The sequence below is a fragment of the Homo sapiens genome, chromosome 9 (genome assembly GCF_000001405.40).
Source record: "Homo sapiens chromosome 9, GRCh38.p14 Primary Assembly".
Classification (NCBI taxonomy): domain Eukaryota; kingdom Metazoa; phylum Chordata; class Mammalia; order Primates; family Hominidae; genus Homo; species Homo sapiens.
In genome coordinates, this window is record NC_000009.12 from 15,252,584 (window position 1) to 15,275,984 (window position 23,401).

At 40.0% G+C, this 23,401-nt stretch overlaps 1 protein-coding gene across 8 annotated transcripts in view; it reads right to left on the minus strand.

Moving 5' to 3' along the window:
- TTC39B (tetratricopeptide repeat domain 39B) overlaps nt 1–23,401 on the minus strand; it is a 143,595-nt gene that overhangs the window by 88,962 nt on the left and 31,232 nt on the right. For 6 of the 8 annotated variants that reach the window (NM_001168341.2, NM_001168339.2, NM_152574.3 and 3 more), the window contains exon 2: nt 15,331–15,365. The exons of 1 other annotated variant lie outside the window; for it this stretch is intronic. In NM_001168341.2, coding sequence (NP_001161813.2) covers nt 15,331–15,365 — 35 coding nt within the window. Of the gene's footprint in view, nt 1–10,193; nt 10,416–15,330; nt 15,366–23,401 lie in introns of those variants that run through there. One more of the 8 variants, XM_047422828.1, reaches the window with a different exon arrangement.

Sequence of the window (23,401 nt, forward strand, 5' to 3'; positions counted from 1 at the left end):
GTTGCAGTGAGCCAAGATGGCGCTATGGCACTCCAGCGTGGGCAACAAGAGTGAAACTCCATCTCAAAAAAAAAAAGGATATTAGGTGAAACCTAAGGAAATCTGAACAAAGTATGGACTTTAGTTAGTGATGTGTATCCAAAATGGTTCATAAACTGTAACAAATGTACGATACTAATGTAAGATACTAATCGTAGGGGGAACTAGGTATAAGGGTCTGTGGGAACTCTACTACATTTTCTAGTTTTCTGTAAATCTAAAATTGTTCTTACAAAACTGTCTATTAAAAAATCATCTTTCCAAGAGTTTCTTAGCTTTTTCTGATCACTAATAAAATACATTCCATAAAAATTCTGACAATGCAAAACAGTTATATAAAAGGAACTTTTCGAAAATTATAAATACCCTGTAATCTCAACACACTGAAATAATCCCAAACATACCATATGTATGTCCTTGCACAGGCTTCATGCATACATACACAGATAAACATATGTGTATCGTTCCACCCCACATGCTATTTGATAGGTGTGGTAGTCTGAATAATGGCACCCAAGGTTATCCAGGCCTTAATACCTATGAATGGTACCTTATATGACAAAAGAGACTTTATAGATATTAGGGATCCTGAACAGAGTCATTATTGTGGGTTATTTGAGTGGGCCCTAAAGGCAATCACAAATTTCCTTACAAGAGGGAGGTAGAGAGACACAAAAAAACAGAAGGTGGTGGGACCATGGAAGGAGAGTGATTTGAAGATGCTATGCTGCTGGCTTTGAAGATGCAGGATGTGGCCAAGAGCCAAAGAATGCAAGGAATGTAGCTCTAGATACTGGAAAAGGCAAGGAAATGGATTCTCCTCTAGAGCCTCTCAAGGGAGCACGGCCATGGGACACCTTGGTTTTGACCTAGTGAAACCCACTTCAGACATCTGACCTCCAGAACTGTAAGAAAATAAACCTGTATTATGTGAAAACACCAAGTTTTAATCTGTTATAGCAGCCATAGGAAATTAATGTAGCAGCCTGACGGACCTGTATTTCTTCTTTTAATTGTCTGCTTATGTCCCTTTGCCAATATTATCATCAAAGTATTCTCTTTCTGGGTCTGTTTGCAGTGTTAACCTTCTTTCATATATGTTCAAGTATTTTCTCTTTGAAATGGGCTTGTAAGGGTTTTGTCATAACAATCAAAACTATCACTCTTTTTTCCTATTGGTGCCATGTTTGAAACAGACTTCTCTACCCAAAAAAAGATAGAATTATATGCCTTAATTTGCTCTTAATATTTAAACAATAACATCTCCAACTATTGTCCTTTATTACTAAGAACCATACAAAGCAACACATCCCTGCACATGTGAACCTCTCCCCTTTGCACCCTGGCCCCTGGCTCAGTGTCAACATTGAGACTTGACTGGAGAAAAAATGTGGACTCGAGACTTCCTGGACACTCCCATTCCATACCCACATCCCCTTTGTCAAGTCTGTCCCCTTAAAATAGCTTAATGCTTGATGTAAAGGATGTGTTCAATAAAGGCTTGTTAAACCTGGGGTGTCTATAAATTCATAAAACCAGCATTAAAAAAAAAAAGAACCATGCAATGAAGGCATCCTCTCCTTCCTTTTCCCTGTTTTGATGGAGTAGGTCTCAGAACTGGGAAATGACCAGGGATAATTTTATTTCTTAGATATTTGTTAGATTTTTTTTAATGTGTTCTTTTTTTAAATCTTTAAAAAGTGTTTTTATAGTTTAAGGTAGCCATTGTGAGACTGTATGAAACAGCTATATGAAAATGTCTTACATCATGAAAGAAATAATGCTTTTACAAAAACAGCAGTGCTCTTCAATATATTATATGTATATACTATGTTACGTTTGCTTTACGCTTTGCAGTTTTACAAAATGCTTTCAAATAAATTATTTTGTAGGTTAAATACATATTACCAAATAATTTTTACTTCTATGGGATTGTCTGAAAAGGTATCCTTATACAAGTTTAGTAACTAAGTTCTGCTGAAAATACAGGACCCATCTACTGTACCGAGACAAAGAGAATGTATCGTTTAAAATACACTTTTTAAATACCAATCACAGGCTTAATTTTCTTACAGTGATTACATAAAATTATTTTAATCAAAGCAAACTACACATTATGGGTATAACTTCTTTCAAATTAAGCTGAAATTTTTAAATGGCAAAGAATCCCTTAAGCCAATGGGAGATCTGACACACATAACTTTATACACACACACACACACACACACACACACACACAAACACACACACTTTTTTTTTTTTTTTGCTGCATAAAAGTCAAGTTACGCTTGCAGAAAACTTTCCTAACTACTAAAATAAATAAAAATCAAAAGCTTATAGCTGTATTGCCTACAGGGGAGACCAAATACTATGCCCACACCTTTGAAAAGGTTAATTCATCAGAGCTATATGGAGTTTTAACATTTTTCATTCTAACTATAACATTCTGCTCATCAGGTAATTTTAAAAGACCGCTGCTGGTATGAATATTTTCATTCTAGACAATAAAAATAAAATAAATAACATAGAAATTACTTTATACAATAATAAAAGTTATATGTAAATCCCCAAATATCTCTTCAGTTTTAGGCAATTTCAGGGTTCTTCCAATTTGTTGATGGCTATTAAGTCTTCAGACTATTTATTAGATGTGCATCATGCATGGTACTGAACTATACACTATTCAAAAATGTACCTAAACCAAATATCACTATGCCTTTGAGGAGTTCTATTCTCTGGTCGTAGAATAATGTTCCACAAGCAGAGACAAAAGGGGGAAAGAGGGAAGAAGGAAAAAGAAAGGAGACCAGAGAGGCTGATGATTTTCGGAACACAAGCAATGAAGAAGTTTGGCGCATTTCAAAAGACAAAGCTCCCAAGTATATGCTTTTGGGTGTTTTATTAGTCATCTTAGGTTCCTATTTTTATCGTGAGGTAGATGAAAAGGGAATGGATGAAGGCGTCAGAAAAAAAAAAAGGATGTCAGGTGAAACAGGGTAAAAAGTTAACAAAAGGCAATGAGCTCACTGTATCCTTTAAGATTCTGACACTCATTTATGCAAACGTCAAGTGAAAACTGAGTCAGCCCTTCAGAGAAAAATGGCAATGGAGACACCAACAATTATGGATAGTGTTTACTATGCCCAAACATTTGGACTTTATTTAATTATATATGCATTTGAGTTTATGAACACAATCAGCCACAGTCTTTTTTTTTAACTGTGTATTCCAAAAGATCCCTTAACTAACCATTTGAATAATCACAGCAATTATCACTGTGCCCTATACTCATTAGGAACTCAATGGTGGCTACATTTTTTTCTTTAATTTACTGCAAATCCTAGCAGTCTACTCTGAGGATCCACCTATATTTTCTTAATAGTACATGCTATGGTTTAATGTTTGTGTCCCTCCAAAATTCATATGTTGAAACCTAACCCCCAAAGTGATGGCGTGGGGCCTTTGGAAGGTGATTAGGTCATGAGGGTTCCACCCTTGTAAATGGGATTAGTACCCTAACAAAAAAGCTTGAGGGAGTCTCTTTGCCCTTTTTCCTTCTTCTTTTTTTTTTCTTTCCCCTCTTTCCACTATTTTCTGCTTCCTTCTACCACGTGAGGACACAAAGAAGGCACCATCTATGAGGAATGGGCCCTCACCAGACACTCAATCTGCTGCCACTTTACTCTTGGACCTTGCGGCCTACAAAGCAGTGAGGAAATAAATTTCCATTGTTTATAAATTACCCAGTCTAATGGATTTTGTTACGGCAGCCCAAATGGACTAAGACAGTATATTAATTTCACACATTCATTTTTTCAACACATATATACTGAGCACCTACTATGTGACAAGCATGGTGCATAGGTGCCAAGTACACCATGACAAGCAAAGTAGATCAGACCCATCGTTATAGAACTTGGAGCTCAAAAAAACAGATGATCAAAAAACAAGTAACAATTAACTGCAAAATGAGAAATGGAGTGATAGAAACAAACAAGATGCCAAGACAGAGAAATGGGGGAAGACTAACTGTTTTGGTGGAGTCACTGAGAAAGTGGGAGGACACGCCAGCTGAGAGTGGAGGATGGCCAGCAAAAAGCCCTCAAAAGAGTGAGGGCAAACACGCTCCAATCCGGAGCAGCACAGGGTTTACTCTCACAAAAAACTGTATAAGGCTTGTGGCTGGAGGGTCATGCATGAGGGCAAGAGTTGCCCTCGATGAGGCAGAAGCAGTATGTGGGAGCCCAACCACCTCAAACCTTATGAACAAAGGTAGATTGGGTCTTCAGCTTTAGACAGGAAAACTCATGGATGGATTTTAAGCAAGCAGTGACATCATCCCATTTAATTTCTAAAAGGATCACTCTTGTCCTGATTCACACAAACATACTGTTAAAAAAATAAATGAGACAGTCGGAGAAATTTGAGCACTGACCAGTTACTGGACGGATATTATTATGTTTTAGGTGTGACAACAGTCTTGTGATTTTTTAAAAAGCGACCTTTGCAAGCTAAATACAGATAAAATGATGTCATATAAAGCATACAGATTAAACTATAGCTCTATATCAATGTTAATTTCCTGATCTTGGTATCTGAATGGTAATTATGAAAGAGACTGTCTTTGTTTTGAAGAAATATATTTTAATATATTTAGAGGTAGAAATAAATTATCATGTCTAGGATTTGATTCCAAATAATCTGGGGATAGGATATGGATGAAATAAGATTGGCCTTGAGTTGACAACTATAGAAGCTAAGTGATTAGTATATAAGGTTTGGTTTACTATCCTCTTTACTTTCTGTAGATGTTCAAAATTGGTCATATTAAAAATTTTTTTTTTGAGACAGGGTCTTACTCTATCACCCAGGCTGGAGTGCAGTGGCACCATCACAGCTCAACACAGCCTCGACTTCTGCGGCTCAAATGATCCTCTCATCTCAGCCTCCCAAGTAGCTGGAACTACAGATGTGTCACCACACCTGGCTAATTTTTTGTATTTTTTATAGAGAGGGGGTTTTGCCATGTTGGTCAGGCTGGTCTCAAACTCCTGGGCTCAAGCAATCCACCCGTTTTGGCCTCCCAAAGTGCTGGGATTACAGGCATGAGCCACCGTGCCTGACGCAAATTATCTTATTTTTAAAAATAATTTTAGGCCAGGCACGGTGGCTCACGCCTGTAATCCCAGCACTTTGGGAGTCCGAGGTGGGTGGATCATCTGAGATCGGGAGTTCGAGACCAGCCTGACTAACATGGAGAAACCCCGTCTCTACTAAAAATACAAAATTAGCCGGGCACGGTGGCGGGCGCCTGTAATCCCAGCTACTCAGGAAGGCTGAGGCAGGAGAATCGCTTGAACCCAGGAGGCAGAGGTTGCGGTGAGCCGAGTTCGTACCACTGCACTCCAGCCTGGGCAATAAGAGCAAAACTCCATCTCAAAAAAAATAAAATAAGATAACTTGGGCTGCTGTATGGAGAGTAAGTGGGGTGCAGTTGGAAAAGTAGAGGGAGAGAACAAAAGAAGCGGGAACACACATTAACCATTAGCCAGCTCTTAAAGTAGTCCAAGCAAAATCTTATAGTCACTTAAGCTAATGTAATAGAGCGGAGAGAGAGGAAAGTGAACGGATGGGAAATATATATTGGAGGTAGAAATCATCAGACTTGGTAATGTGGAAATTAAAAGAAAAGAAAGGAATCAAAGATGTCTCCCAAGCTTCTGACTTGAACAAATGGGTGGATGGTGGGTGGAGACATTTACAGAAAAGGCAAAGTTTTCAGATAAACAAAGGAGGTGGATACCAAGAGTTCAGTTTGGGACATAAAAATTAATGTGTTTGTGAAACATCCTAGTGAGTGATAAAAGAAGCAATGATTGGACCTCTTTCCCATTACAACTACCAAAATAGCCCAAGACAGCAGCAGGGAGCAGCAGCCATGTCAAGAAGGTTACTTATGGAGGAGGCAAGGAACTCAGTGTAAGAGCAAAGTCCTGGCTTTCAGACACAAGCTGAGCATTGCTACCAGGGCTGAGAAAGTCAGAGAGGACACTGAGCCTGCAGAAAGGCAACCACAGTCACAAAGATCCTGCTCATAGGGGTTCACTGGTCATTCACTTTGCACCAGCAACACCCCAACCACGACTCAGTCTTCCATCTCTGCTGGGACCTCCTTGGTAAGATGAGATAATTGCACCAAAGTGTTGCTAAGGAGCTTTCCTTCAGAGGCTTTCCTTCAAGTGATGAAATCTTGTCACTCCTCATAGTGAAAAGCAGCATTTATAGGATCTATATCTTAAAACGTGTACTACACACATTCTCCTTCCCCCTGTGAATTTATATGAAGAACTTCACAGTGGCAGGTCTAAACACAACAGCAGACCATTAGAGTAGATCTAACAGGACAAAAGAAAATACAAAGAGAAGCAAGCCCAGTGGTAACAGAAACAAGGAAAAAACACCAGGAATGCTGTTTACCTTGAGCTTTTTAAAGAACTTTTATTTCCATTTACTATATACCATTGACTCTATGACACACAAATTTTCATCATGGAATATCCCTAACCCCAAGATACATCTTAAAATTGACAGCAACTTTGACTGCCCTAAATCAAAGTTATGTTCTTAGGGAGAGGATCTGCATTTGCTTCTGCCAATTACCTGAGGACACCACCAACCTGATCCACTTAAAGTTAAATAACCTGCTTGAAGTTGTTGGGGGTTACACCATTTATATGTATTCAGACTCCAAACCAGCTTACAATTCAAATTCTAAAGGGCATTAAAAAGTTAAACATAGGTTCACCATGCAACTTACCAATTCCACTTCTGTGTCTGTATGGCAGATAATTTAAAACATGTTCATACAAAGACTGTACACAATTGTTTATAGCAGCATTATTCACAATAGCCAAAAACTGGAAAAGACTCAAATGCCCATCAACTGATGAACAGATAAATAAAATGTGATATATTCATATAAATGAATATTATTCAGCCATAAAAAGGAATGAAGTGCAGATGGTCCCCAACTTAGGATGGTTCAACTTGCAATTTTCCAACATTATGATGGGTTTGTCAGGGTATCCAATGCATTTTCACTTACTATATTTTTTATTTATGATGAAGTTATCAGGAGGTAACCCCATCATGAGTCAAGGAGCATCTATCTGTACTACACATTCTATGACATGTGTAGACACAAAATAATACATATTAGATTATTCCATTTATATAAAATATCTACAAAAATTAAATTAGTGGTTGCCCCAGCCGAGGGTGACAGAAATTAGATTAGTGGATGCCCCAGCTAAGAGTGGGAATAGATAATGACTATAAAAAGGCACAGATTTCTTTTTCAGACGATAAAAATGTTTTGAAGTTAGATTGTGGTGATGGCTCTATAATTCTGTAAATACATTAAAATGCATTAAATTGTATAATTAAAATAGGAATATATATGAGATATAAATTAATATTGCAATAGAGCTGTTTAAAAAAATTCTCTGAGTGGAGAATCTCATTAGAGGGTTTTTTTTCCTTCCCTACCTAATACCAAGATTGAAATATACACATTTCCTTACTGTGCCTTCCTGCAAGATGATTTTATTTTTCCTTTCCTTTATGCAAGGTCTCCTACAAAATTCCTCATTGTGTTTTTTTTTTTTTCCTTCCTTAGGAATATATAAGATAACAATATGAATGGCATCTTAGATCCAATAAAATCACTGTCGACTTGGTTAAGAAAATCAAATTAAGAGAGGACAAAACTCCCTTTCCAGACTTGAGTAACATTTATATTACCTACAGGGGAAAATTGGGGCCAAAAAAAACAGCAGAGAAAAATGAAAACAAATCTAACTCTCCCTGTAGTTACTATTTATAACTTAACCACTCTGAAGAAAAATATCAGATGTTTTCCAACTATCATTCACCGATATTCACCCTTAATTAAAACAGGCAAAACTATTGTATCACCAACTGATCTAACCTAATGAGGGGAAAAAAAAAATGGCCCTAAAAGCCTTACTTCACTCTCATCTACAATTTATGGTTCGAAAGAGAAGGTGTGGAGAAGGAAAAAGTTTGTGAGAAATGTTATAAAACAAAATATTTTTATACTACACTTGATCTTAGACAAAAGGCCAAGAAGCGATCAAAATATTTTTATTTCTATTGTAAGCTTCTAATTACCTGGCTAAAAAAATCTGCCTATTTCACCTTCTACAGGTAAGTACAAATTCAGAGCAGTTCTTGAAAATAGACACATACATCCCCACTGTATTCACACCACCTCAGGATTCCATTGAACACATATGAGTTTCTATGTAAGGATAAATTTGAAATTTCCGTAAGATGCTCTGGAATATGAAAGACCACTGCTGAGAATATATTAAACCTGCATCTGTTCTAACAGTCTTTGAACATAAGTTTGATCTGTCTCCCCTGACTTCTCTAAACTACCATGAAAAGAAAATCTTAATTAATCAGTGCCCAACCAGGACTCCCGGTTAGATTTTTGTCCCATTGCCCACAGTGGTTTTTATGAGAAAGAGGTTAATCAAAAATACCACCAGCCAGGTACAGTAGCTCATGTCTGTAATCCCAACACTATGGGAGGCAAAGGTGGGAGGATCACTTGAGTCCAGGAGTTCAAGACCAGCCTGGGTAACATAGGGAGACTGCATCTCTACAAAAAATAAAATTAGCCAGGCGTGATGGCACCTGCCTATAGTCCCAGCTACTTGGGAGGCTAGGTGGGAGGAGCACTTGAACCCAGGAGTTTGGGGCTGCAGTGAGTTGAGAACGCGCCACTACACTCTAGCCTGGGAGACAGAGTGAGATCCTATCAAAAAAAAACAAAAACAAAACACCAAATCACGATGACTGTAAGTGGTTAGTCCATTCTCCCCACTAGACAAGACCAGGAATCCTCCATGACCCAACTTCATTTGTGTCCAGGGCCCCACTGGTGTTTCAAACCCACTGCTCTGTGCTCTGGCCACTGTCCTCAGAACTGTTCACCCAGCATGTCCCCACCTCTGACCCTCTGCACTGCCTCTACCAACTGAAATGCCACCCATCCCTCAAAACCCAAAGCAAATGCCAGCACCCCCATCTCCCAACCAAAAGATAGCTTTCTTTTGGAATTCCCAAAACACAATATTTACTCTTCACATGCCATATCACAGTTAATTATCAACAGATTTATTATACCCACCACTACATTGTCAGAGATGGCAACTGGGCACTAACACTGAGAAAAGGGACACTCCGTCATCAGAGCACTAGAAGTGCAAACCAGCATGGAACTGTTAAATAAGGAAGCAAGAAACTATAGCTAATCTAGAACTGCATGTTATTTGTGACAAATTTCTATATATCATGCAACAGGTCCTTAAGAGGTCACCTCCTTATGCCGAACAGGTCATAAAGTTCACAGACTATTTTAATTTTTATTTTTTATTTTATTTATTTTATTATTATTATTTTTTGAGATGGAGTCTTGCTCTGTCACCCAGGCTGGAGTGCAGTGGCACAATCTCAGCTCACTGCAACCTCGGCCTCCCGGGTTCAAGTGATTCTCCTGCCTCAGCCTCCTGAGTAGCTGGAATTACAGGCATGCGCCACAAAGCCCAGCTAATTTTTGTATTTTTAGTACAGATGGGGTTTTGGTATGTTGGCCAGGCTGGTCTCAAACTCCTGACCTCAGGTGATCCACCCACCTCAGCCTCCCAAAGTGCTGGGATTACAGGCGTGAGCCATAGCACTTGGCCTATTTTAATTTTTAAAAAGAACATGGTCAATGTACTACTAACATTTTTGTACATCTCTAATTTTTCCTCCAGTTCTAAATGGTGGAGATTTTTGTATGACCTACCAGTTTTATTTTAACAGTTTTATTTTATTTTATTTTGTGTTATTTTAACTATTTTGAGAAACTGCCAGAAAAACTAGCAATTTCTCAAAATAGTTAAAATAACACAATCGTTACCACAAAGATCCAGAGGTAGGAAAAATCTGTGTTGAGAGTGGTAAATTCATTAGGCAGAAAAAGAAAAATAAGAAACTATTTGCTTTGTGGAAACAATTTAAGGCCTCCTTCATCTGTTAGTGTGAATCCTTTCATTAGGCATTCAAGAGAAAATACTCACTGGAAGAAATTAATCATCAGGTTGGCAAGAGCACTGCATCTTGATACAGAGATTGAAGCACTTGCTCTCTGCACCAGAAACATAAGATCAAAATATATGGTTCAGTAAGTGTAAGGAAAAAGAACTCTACTAAGTTTTGCAGAATTCACAAAGGGAATGTTATAGTATCACCAATTTAAGAGGAAATGTGAGAAATATTGACAAACCCTGAAATTAGGACAAACAAAAAGTTCACATAAAAACAACTGAAGAAATTTTTTACAATTAACATGTATTTATAATCAGAGGCCTCTGACTTGGACTAGAAGTCCATTACTTCTCCTGTGTCTCCAGCTTGCCAACTGCAGAACTGGGGACTTCTCAGCCTCCATAATCACATGAGTCAATTCCTTACAGCAAATCTCTTCATATATAGACATTTTATGTCTCCTATTGGTTCTATTTGTCTGGAGAACCCACACTCTTACAAGGGAGAGCAGAAAAGTACCGATGTTCACTGAGCACTTACTATGTGTTTTACTCCCATTATCACATTTAACTTAAATTTCATTTAATCCTCTCAATAAATCTATGAGAGGAGAAAACAAGCTCAGAGAAACTGCCCAGGCCTCCCAGCCAGTAAATGGCAAACTGGGACTACAGTTCAAGTCTGACTGTCAAGTGTGGTCAGTCCCGTCTCCCCAGGAAGATACATGTAGTTGTGTGCATGAAGGCAAAATGAAACCACACCGCTGTGCTTTGGAGTTTTATGGCTGTGTGTAATATTTTCTTTGTTCTCTCACTGCCATTTTTTGTCATCACCAACAAGCTCTGCTTCGGAAACAACCCCCCTTACAATACCTCTCAGAACGCTGTAAGGCAAAAGTACGCACAAGACCAAAAGGCAAAGTTTATTAAAATCAGATCAAAATCAACTGCAGACTCTGAATGGAGGCCTCTGCTACAAGATTCTTCGTGTATGGACTCCAGCACCTAATCTGGCTACCCCTTCTGATTTTGGGCTCTATCTCTCTCTATTAGGAGAAGGGTTCCTATAATGTGTTGCTATAACCAAGGTGAGAGGAGTGGAACAATTCAGCAACATTGAAAAGGACACACAAACGTTTAAGCGACAGTCTAAAGGACACGAGAAATAATGCACACCAGAAACCTAAAAGAGCAAGATACATTCTAAAATGGGGAAACCTTTGGATTTGTTAAACTGAGCAGGACAGGGAAGTTAAAATTAGACAAGAGGAAGAAACTGCTGGCAGATAAATACAGCCACAGAGAAGTTCTGGAGGCAATGAAGGGAGAATGCGTGGTCATTAGAAACTGAGGCAGTGTTAAGGAGCTGCAGTCTTCAGGATGAGAAAAACTATAACAGAGTTGACAGTAGAATAAAAGACACCAAGACAATGCTTCTCGAATTCCCCACTTTAACAGCACATGAAGGGGTTTCTCTAGCAAATATGAAGGATGAACAAGCTAAAAAATCTAATGTACAACATGAGGATTATAGTTAATAAGAAATAGTACACTGTATTCAGGATTTTTGCTAAATTAAATTAGATTTTTCTTCCTTGCCACAGGAGGAAAAAAAATGGGTAACTAGGCCAGGCGCAGTGGCTCATGCCTGTAATCCCAGCACTTTGGGGGAGGCCAAGGCAGGTGGATCACCTGAGGTCAGGAGTTTGAGATCAGCCTGGCCAACATAGTGAAACCTTGTCTCTACTAAAAATACAAAAATTAGCTGGACGTAGTTGGCAGGCGCCTATAATCCCAGCTACTTGGAAGGCTGAGGCAGGAGAATTGCTTGAACCCAGGAGGCAGAGGTTGCAGTGAGCTGAGATCACACCATTGCACTCTAGCCTGGGCGACAGAGCGAGACTCTGTCTTAAAAAAAAAAAAAAAAAAGGGAAACTATGTGAGATGATAGATATCGTCATTTGTTCTTCTATATAACAATTTTACTATATATATATATATATATCTTATAACATCATGTTGTATACCTTATATATACACAATAAAATTTATTTTAAAGCAAAAACAAAAAGTACACAAAGGGGTTTCTGATAGTCACGAATCAAAAGCATCTCCATCACAGGAGTCATTTTGGATGATGTTCTGAGAACCAGACAATGCTAATATTAAACCATCTAACTCGGTTGAACAAAAGAGTTGTTTTTGTGCAAACACAGGCATCTAGATCAAAGGAACTGAATGGAAAGCCCCCAAACAGTGTGTTATTATTTTAATGAACTTATTTGACAAAGGAGGTATCAAATATAAATTGTTTCCCTCATGGACCTAACAAATGGTGCTGGAATAGTGGGCTAGCAATTTTAGGGCTGGTGTGAGATAGGAATCTAAATTAACTTCAGCTGGGTTGAATTTAGGGCTTTTGTTTATTTCTGTGGTTTGATTTTTTTAAAAACTAATAGATGTTAAAAAAACTGCTTGCAATGCCTTCCTGAGGTCCCAAAGGTAAAGCCACTACCAGCCTACTGAAGCCAGTGGGAGCTCAGAGAAGCACAAGCATCAATGTGCACTGCTCAGGGGTCACACTGCTCCCACTGGTCAGTGAGACCCGTCCTCCTCTGTGAGGTCTGCACCCCTCTCTGTTGTGTGTGGCATGCTAGCTCCCGCTGGGAAAAGCAGTGTCTCCTCTGGTGAACTCCAATCACCAGCCCCAAGGCCTGATCCTTTTCCATCCCCTGGACTGTGATCACCTACTATAGCCCAAGCTCAATTCCTGCCAACACCAAGGGAGGAGCAGGGTTGAATAATTATAAGATTTCTGAATGGCGATCACTTGCCCACCATAGAAGTGATTTCTTAAAAATCACATAAACAGATTATCTTCCAAAGAGTACTGTATAAAAAGGGAGGAGGGGAAAAAGGGCAACTTCACAGTGGAAAAACCTGACAAACACTACCCATGCCATGTGACCAAGTTCAACATCGGTAGTGCTAAGTCACATTGATATCGTGGATCTTTGCTATGATGTGATAAGAATGGCCCTTTCCATCTGGGGTCTTCTTCCCAAAAACACATGACCACAGTCAAATCATGAGGGGGGAAAAACAGACCAATCTCAATTAAGGGCCATTCTACAAAATAACTGACAGTACTCCTCAAAACTGTCAAGGTCACCGAAAACGAGAGTCTGAGAGACTGTCACAGCCAAGAGGAGCCTAAGGGGACATGACGACTAAATGTAAAGTGGTATCTTGGGTGGGATGCTGAGGCAGAAAAAGGACACTAGGTACAAACTAAATAAATCTGGATAACGTATGGACTGTAGTTAACAATAATATATCCATATTGATCATTAATTGTGAGAAATGTACCATGCTAACTTAAGAAATTAATAATAGAGAAAACCTGGGTGGGGTACACAGGAATACTCTGTACTACCTCCTCAATAATTCTGTAAGTCTGAAACTGCTCCTAATTAATAGGTTAATCCCAATCACAATTAAGTTTTTTTTTTAAAAAATCATATAAACATGAAACTTTTGGACAAAATAAAAATGTATAATACTAAAATAAAGAAAAATTGCAGTCTGGAGGAAATATCTATAGCAAATATGACAAAAGATTAGGGTATATATAATTTAAAGTCCATAAGTATGTTAAGAGAAACATTCTGAAAAAAGCTAAGAGACAAAAGAAAATTAGAAGTCATACAAAAGATGCAATGTATTTTTAAAATAATTTTTAAAAATACTAAAGTAGGTATCATTTAAGTTGCAAAACTGTTTTTGAAATAATACCCAGTGATGATAATGTGACAGTTTAAACCACTTTGCTTACATAGTATTGGTAGCCAAGTAAATTGATAATACTCCTGTGGAAGTACTGTAAAACAAACGGTGCCCCTCTACCCCCACCTGTACATGCACATGTTCAAGCCCAAACCCCCAATGTGATGGAATTTAAATATGGAGCCTTTGGGAGACAATCGGATTTAAATGAGGTCAGGAGAGTGGGGTCCTCAGGATAGGATTAACACCCTTATAAGAAAGGACATCAGGCAGGGCGCAGTGGCTCACGCCTGTAATCCCAGCACTTTGGGAGGACAAGAGGGGCAGATCACGAGGTCAGGAGATGGAGACCATCCTGGCTAACATGGTGAAACCCCGTCTCTACTAAAAATACAAAAAAAATAGCCTGGCGTGGTGGCGGGAGCTGTAATCCCAGCTACTTGGGAGGCTAAGGCAGCAGAATGGCGTGAACCTGGGAGGCGGAGCTTGCAGTGAGCCGAGATCGTGCCACTGCACTCCAACCTGGGCGACAGAGCGAGACTCCGTCTCAAAAAAAAAGGACACCAGAGAGCTTTTGCTCTCACTCTCTCGGCCATGTAAGAACACAACAAGGAGGCAGTCTGCAAGCCAAGAGGAGAGCCCCTACCAGAATCCCAACCATGCTGGCACCCTTAACTCAGACTTCTAGCCTCCAAAATTGTGAGAAAATAAATTATTGTTGATTAAGCCACCCAGGCTATTGTGTTTTGTTATAGAAGCTGAAGTTAACTAATACAGGAAGGCAATTAGAGATATACAAAGAACAATAAACATATTCATCCCTTTTAATTCAGTAATCCTACATTTGTTATGTTAACCTTTAGAAATAATTCAAAATATAACAAAGCTATACACATGTAAAACTTAGTTCTACATTTCTAAGCCAGTGACAACCTAAATGTCTAACAATGGAGAAGCAGGTAAGTAAATTGTAATATTCCATTTGATCTAATATGATTTAGCAATTTAGAATTATTACAAAAACTATATAGGCTTACAGTGAATGCTTTTAATAAAACTAAGTGCAAACCAAACACAAAAATCTACAAAATGAGACTGACATAAATATGAACAACTATTAAAAGAGTTAGCTATAAACAAATACTTTGTTGAGAAATATTTTATTTTGTTACAAGAAATAATACTCAGAAATGTATCTGAAAGTATTAGATAGATCCTTTCTTAAATATAATCACATCCTCTTTAATTATAGAAAAGTGACTTTTTTTTTCTGAAAATAGCCATTGCCGTACTCTCCAAAAAATGAGAATGAAATATTTACTTTTTATGTAAGACAACCATCAATTTTTCCTTACTACATACTTTTTATTATGTTATTACTTACATTGAGATGGTTTCCAAGGCATCTTCGAAAACGTCCTGGGGGAAATAAAAAATACAATGAGTTTCTCAAGAATTCTCAATGGGTTTCTCAAGAATTCTAAAAGAGAAAATGAATACACGCATTGGGGAGAGTGGTCCTGGCAGGAAGGTATAGCAGGCAGTAGAATCAATCAACTTAACGCTTATGGAATTCTGTTTACAGAAATCAAGCAGATGCATTTCAGTGACGTTTAATTTTTTTTTTAATAAGGCTGGTAAAATACTCAGCAAGTGATCAAACTGGCCTAATTTAAAGAGACTATGACGTCTTTTATGAAGTTACCTTTCACTCCTAAATCTCATTCTTCCCAACTATAGAGTAAAATAAATAAGAGGACTTGCCCGATGTAGTCTTTTCTTTCTCCATGGCTAGCCAAGTGAGCATCCTCTGGGCCTTCATTTCACATATTGCACCACCCTCTCAGCTCGTCTCCCTGCCACCAGCCTTTCCCCCAGTTTACTCTGTGCCACACAGGATAGCCCTTTGCTTCATGCCACTGGCCTGATCACAGCTGCAACAGGAGAGAAACGCACACAGTCATATGCACTCAGAAGACCACACACACACTCCACACTCAGACACAGTGACTCACACACAATCTCACAGTCACACATACAAATACACATGCACTCACTCAAAAACTCACACATTCACAACAGCTCCCTCACAGCTGCAAAAACCAAACCTAAGCTCCTCATCCAGGTATCCGGGGTCCACCACAACCCAGCTTAATCTTCCAAGCATCCTTCTCTGACATCCCTACCACTCTTACCATAGCCCAAGCCACGAGACCTCCAAAGGGCCACCTCACTGGTCTCCCTACTCCTGTGCTTGACACCCTCCATTCAATTCTTCACATGACAACAATATCATTCTTTTACTTCATGTTTTTGAATAAGCATACACCATTCCAGTTTTCTAGACCTCTTCAAGAGCTTTCCATTGCATTTAGAAAAATCCCAAACTCATTCTCCCTATCTACAGAGCCCTAAAACAGCCCCGCCAGCCTCTGACCACATCCCCTTACTCACTCGACTCCAGCCACAGGTCTTTCTTTCCGTTCCTTGGACAAGTCAAACATCCCACAGCTCTCTGCACTGTCCCCTTTCTTATAATGTCCTTTGCTCAATTATTCCCATGGCTGACTCATTCTCATCCTTTGATTTTCAGCTTAGAAAGCCACCTCCTCAAGAAGAACATCTCTGATCACCCTAATTAAAATTACTAGGAATAGCAGCTTACATAAAGTTCCTCATCATTTCATTTGTTTCATTCATAGCACTTATCATAATCTCTAATGATCTTCCTTGTTTACTTGGTCACCCTCTGTCTCCATCAGAGCAGGCTCTTACATACACAGAAAAAACACCAGGGCTTCGCACCAGGGTTTGCTCAATAAATACTTGTTGCCTAATGAATGAATGAATGAATGAATGGAACCTGGACCGCCAAGGGACTTACCGTATCACACCTCATTTAGAGTTATGCACAGAAATGAGGAAAGGGGGCTAGGGATCTTTTCCCTTGTGTGGCCATTAATACTGAACAAGGTTTAGACCATACTGGATTCTGCGGTGAGGCAGAAAAAACAAAAGTGTAAATACTAAAAAGAAGAACCTGGCCAGGCGCAGTGGCTCATGCCTGCAATCCCAGCACTTTGGGAGGCCGAGGCGGGTGGATCACAAGGTCAGGAGTTGGAGACCAGCCTGGCCCACATGGTGAATCCCTCTCTCTACTAAAAAATACAAAAAAATTAGCTGGGCGTGGTGACATGCACCTGTAATCCCAGCTACTTGGGAGGCTGAGGCAGGATAATCGCTTGAACCTGGGAGGCGGACGTTACAGTGAGCCGAGATCATGCCATTGCACTCCATCCTGTGTGACAGAGTGAGACTCCGTCTCCAAAAAAAAAGAAAAAAAAAAAAAGAAGAACCGACTGGACCTGGTGGCTTACACCTGTAATCCCAACACTTTGGGAGGCCAAGGCTGGTGGATCACCTGAGGTCAGGAGTTTGAGACCAGCCTGGCCAACATGGTGAAACCCCATTCCTACTAAAAATACAAAAATTAGCCAGGCATGGTGGTGCATTTCTGTAATCCCAGCTACTTGAGGAGGCTGAGGCACAAGAATCACTTGAACTCAGGAGGCGGAGCTTGCAGTGAGTCAAGATTGCCCCACTGCACTCCAGACTGGGCAACAGAGCAAGACTCCATCTCAAGGAAAAAAAAAAAAAGTTGTAAACAGTGGCAGAACTGAGTTTGAGTTTGGGACCCTGACCTATTAATCTACATTAATATCATACTCCATAAGGGAGGTAAAATCAAGGGCCAGCACACAGGTTATCATGTGAGTAGTTACAGAGAAGGGAGGAAAACGTATTCTCCAGGAACCCAAATCTCACTATGATAAGCCCAGCTCATAGTCCCTCCGGCAGCTCTGCAGACTCCCTCTGCACTTACCAACAATAGGGTACATGGACAGCCCACTCCTGGGAGCCTTCTGTGCCTTCTCCTCCTCCTCACAAACCTCAGCATGGACACTAAAATACTTACTGAGTGAGCGACGCAAAGGATAACTTGGGAAGCCAACCCTCCGTGTAAAGAAGATAAGACTAATATTTTCATCTAAACAAGAAGTATTCCCACCCCTCCATCAAAAAAAGAAAAAAAAAAAAAAGAATATCAAGCCAGGTGGTGCACACCTGTAGTCCCAGCTACTCGAGAGGCTGAGGTAGAAGGATGGCTTGAGTTCAGCATGGACAGTATAGTAAGACCCTGTATCTAATAACTTTTTTATTTAAAAAAAAAAACACGATTTCAAGAATATCGAAACTCTCCATTTTGTTGAAACAGTAATCACGGGGCAGAGAGTTTTCTAAATAAAGCATATGTGGTCTATAAAGGCCAGACAAAAGGTGGAAGTGTCTTAATTTTAAAAAAGGAAAGGTGAAGAGAAGAACTAAGATTTACTGAGTACCTATCATGTGCCAGGCACCTTACAACCTTACAAAAGCTATTTCATGTGTTCCTCCCAACATACAGCAAGTTAAGCCAGTTGTAGTTTAATTACTTGCCCAACATTACACAGTGAAGAAACTGGGGTTCAATCTCAGGCTTAAAACCAAAGCATTTTATTAATGTCAATACAAACTATCTAAAACTTGGAAATTAGACAGTTGGGCAGGATGGGGAGGGGGTGGGAGATGAAGGGGTGCCATATCCTCTCAATGTAATATGGTAGCATTGTTTTACAAGCCTCCCAAGGATTATTTAACTCTCTAGAAGAGTGTATTTGTGTTTAATTTTGCCATCTGCTGTCTGATTGGAGTCCGCACACTGTGAAGTTACATGTTGACTTACAGGATTTTTAGTGGCGAAAAAGACTACCTCAAAGATTATGATTTTGCTGCTCAGTGAGACAGCAGTTCCCAACCTTTTTGGCACCAGGGACTGGTTTCATGGGAGACAATTTTTCCACAGATGATGGGGGACAGTGAGGAGATGGTTTCAGGATGAAACTGTTCCACCTCAGATCATCAGACATTAGATTCTCATAAGGAGTGCGCAACCTAGATCACTTGCATGCACATTTCACAGTAGGGTTAGCTCTCCTGAGACTCTCACGCCACCGCTGATCTAACACGGGGTGGAGCTGTGGTAATGCTCGCCCGCCCACCACTCACCTCCTGCTGTGCAGCCTGGTTCCTAACAGGCTACAGACCAGTACCAGTCCACGGCTCAGGCATTGGGGACCCCTGCTTTAAGGTATTACCCAGCTTTATGTATAACCTAGCAATCTTAATCTAACATTCTTCCTTAAGCTTATAAATACTAGTTCCTCAAATACTGTTTGGATCAATTTACCATTTCACTGGTTTCCTAATTGGTGGATGAAATAAAATTTTGACATGCTCATTTATATCTTTATGAGACTCTTATTTCCAATTCTGGGAAATTATACTTGGACCCGGAGATGGCCAACCGCTCTCTCCCTGGGTACCAGCAAATACAGTTTCCTGCATCCTTGGGAAAAGTGATGTGGGGTCCACGTGGAGGATGAAACACCAAAAGGCAGAGACTGCTCATGCATCTGTTCCATATCCCTACAGAAAGACCAGTGCTTCCTTTCCCTCCTGTCTGTCTTGGTCCCCACACTCAGTTCAAATTCTATCCCTTTTCTGCTGCTGCCTCAGGAAGCTCCTTTTCCTTGTGTGAGATTCCCATCAGGGCCCCTAGGTTTGGCACTGACAGCTATTCCACAGTCTCCCACCTGGCCCTCAGTAGTCACGCATGTATTCTTCATGTAGCAGAACTAGATGTTTCCACCAAAGTCTCTTTGCTTCTCCATACTCACCATAAATTTCCTAGTGCTCCTCCAGTGTTGGTTTCCCTTAGCTCCCCAGTACTGGTGGGCTCACCGTGTGCCCTCCAGTTACAACACGCACACTCAGAGGAGCATCCTGACTCCTTCCAACATAAGTAAAGTAAGACAGGAGAGCTCACACTGCCAACAAATACAAAGTGTTACAGGAAAACCTCGGTGTTTAGTTCCCTCCTTAAAGGCAGCTGCATTTGCCTGCCCTACTCCCATACCAGGGCCAACCTTGAAGTGCTACTACTGTAGGGCCTGGTGTAACAGATGTTTTCATTGAACCACACCTGGCTCCCAAATAATACACTGCCTCCAAACAGTATCTAACTTGTTCAAGAGCCTATCTTGACTCTCTAGTTGGAGTCAAGCACCATTCTATTCTTTATGAATCTGCTTTCCAGCCCAGCACAGTACTCTGTACTTCATGGACTCTTAGCAAATCATGGTTAGCTAACTAACTGGCTGAGCACCCTTGTCTGGAGGTGGAAGGTCCTCACCTTGAGCAGTTTCATTTTGCACGTTAAAAAATGGGCTCACCTGTTAGTTGAAGGATTCCCTAGGTGAGCTGACAGATATAAGGCCAGCACCCAGGGCCTGCTGCCTCCTGGGAGATCAGCCTGAACCCTACCTCTGCCTCCAGATCATAGAAACTGCCATCCTGATCGTAGAACTGACACAGAGTGAGGAAAGCTGCATCACCTACTAAGGCTTTTCCAAACAATTTCCATCTTAACTCGCTAGCTTTGTCATATTCTGAGTAGCAAAAATGCATGCAAGAACATTTGAGTGGAAGAGCAGGTTCTTGATGTTCATTTAAGAATCTTAATGAAGATATTAATGACAAAAGTGTTTACATTATTTTTATCTCTAGAGAACAAAGAGTAAAGATGACAAATATGCTATTAACAGTAGTAATGTCAATACTCTCCATTAACTGCCAAAGAGACCAAATAGATTTACAAATTTTTCAGGCCTCCCTATCTGATTTTTAATTCACTTCGTGGTTTGAAAAGGAATATGTGACAAATATTACTGCAAGAAGGAAAAGGAAGTAGGAAGTAACATGACAAAAAATAACGCCAGGTACTGTAAATCCACAAAGCTGTATCGCTTCTCTAGAACTCCGTTCCTCCCTCCTCCTCCACATTCCTCCCTCCTCCTCCGCGTTCCTCCTCCTCACCCTCAGCCCTGTCCTCCATTTTACCATCTTTCTCATAGGGATGACTTCACAGGCCTGAGAACAGATTCTACCACGCTCATTTAACCACCGCACTTTAGCAAAGATGACAAGGTTTGAGAGGGCTTGCAGATACCTTCCTCCTCAATGAAGACCACAGGTGGGCAGGTGCCCACCCCCACACAACCAGGCCCCTTCTCACTGGAGCTTTCCCACCCAACATTCCATTCCACTGACCAATGAAGCTGTGTGTTTGGTATCATGGACTCAAAGAACGCTACAACTGTTGAGAACTCTGGCAAGTCATGAATTCTTTTGGGGCATATCTGGACCATTCCCATGGAGATGAGACATGAAGAGGATGCCCCAACTTCCCCCCAGGACTGAGGCAGGGACTAAGAGCCATGGGTATTAGGTTCTACGGAATACAAACACGTGTCTACATGGCATCCACTCCTGTAAATCAAGATGTCCAAAATGGGAAACCAGACTGACATCAGAAGCATTATCATAGTGACTGACACACCTGGAGGATTCCTCAAATATTGAATTTCTCTCATAAAGAGAAACAGCACATTCCTAGTTAAAGGAATCATATGAGAAATGCATAAACTCAAGTCACATCACTCCCTATTAAAACTTGAATAAAGTACTGATTTTTCTAAGTCAGAATTAATTTAAAATACACCTTTATTATTGTGCAAAATTCATTTTAAAAATATATACGTACCCTGAGCTCATCTGTTAGGAATAATTTTTCATTCTGCTCACATTTATCATCCAATTCTCTGTAATCTATTTGTCAAGTTCAAAAAGTAGTCCATGGCCTTCTACAGCATTTAAACTCTCCAACTAAATCCCAAGGACTACCAACTAGTCGCATCTTATCTGCAGTGCCACATTTTTTTAAGTTTCATATTGCATGAAAGAGCATCAATGTTCTTTGATGGCAAATGTAATAATCAGCTTCAGCTCCCCCATAACTGGGTTTGCAAAGGACAAGCACCCCTCATACCCTCCTTAAAGGATTAGCATCAAAGCAAGTCCTTTGTGAAACCTTAACTGACCTACAGAATTCTTAATCAAAGGGAAAGAAAGCAATAGGGGCCCACACATTAGACACACTCACATTCCAAGTCCCCACCTGTAACGACTGTTGTTGGTCCTTGCAGGGAACAAAACATGACCTTCTCAAATTTCAAGTATCACACCTGAAAAAAAACTAACACTAAGTTTATCTTCTTAATTTGTCCAGGTTTGTCAAATTCCAGGCAATAATTTTTTTAGATTTTTTTAATAGACTTAGAAAAAACTGGAGATTTTCAAACATTTTTTCAGAAATAGGGATTAAAAAAATAATAACAGCAAAACAACAGTAAAATCATCTGCCAAAACATAAAGCTCATGCTTTAGAAATTTTTAAACATTCATCAGTTGAGATTAAAAATAATTTTCCATGTTCTCCAGGTGTAGGATTAATATAGTTCCCTGGTTGCTCTTGTGCCAGGTAAGTGCTCTCATATAATCCCACGTAAATTCTGTTTTTTTTTTTTTCCTGAGATGGAGTTTCACTCTTGTTGTCCAGGCTGGAGTGCAATGGTGCGATCTTGGCTCACTGCAACCTCCGCCCCTCCAGTTCAAGCGATTCTCCTGCCTCAGCCTCCCAAGTAGCTGAGATTACAGGCATGCACCACTACACCCAGCTAATTTTGTATTTTTAGTAGAGACGGGGTTTCTCCAGGTTGGTAAGGCTGGTCTTGAACTCCTGACCTCAGGTGATCTGCCCGCCTCGGCCTCCCAAAGTGCTGGGATTACAGGCATGAGCCAACGCTCCCAGCCAGTTCTGTGTTCCTTTGTATTGCTTTGTTTCTCTAGGCCTTAGGGTTGATGAAGTAAGGTTCTATGTTTTTTAAAGCTTCATTTTTACCAAAAAATCACAGATCTAATAGTAGAAACTGGGGATATGGAGTAACGGGCATTTTAATGGGAAAGATTACTTTCTATGCATTTAGGAACTACCAGCATCGATACGCCAAGCGCTAGTGAAACTGCAGCAAAAGAGTCCTTGCTTTAAGGAAGTCTTCTGGGAGAAGGAGGATACGCCCATGATGAAACCACCAGGTAAAGGGACCTCACTTCATCAGGAGATAGAGGAAGGGAGGACATAAGGAGCTTGGTGGGGAAGGAATTAGGCAGGTGGAAATGTATAAGGTAAGGCCCCAAGGTAGAAAAGAGTTTACTACAGTCATGTTGTCTACAGTTGAGAGAACAATAATGCCCACAGAGCTCACTATTATGGATTAAAGGAGCAGAGGAGAAACGGAAACATAGTCCATCTTCACTCACAGTGTTTACAAAGTGCTAGTAATAAAGCAGCCTAAAAGTGATCTACACACAATGCCTTTAAGATCTTTTTTTGAAAAAATTTAAAAAGACCTCAGGAATACAGGAGCATTTTCAATGTCACATTTGTAAGAAACAAA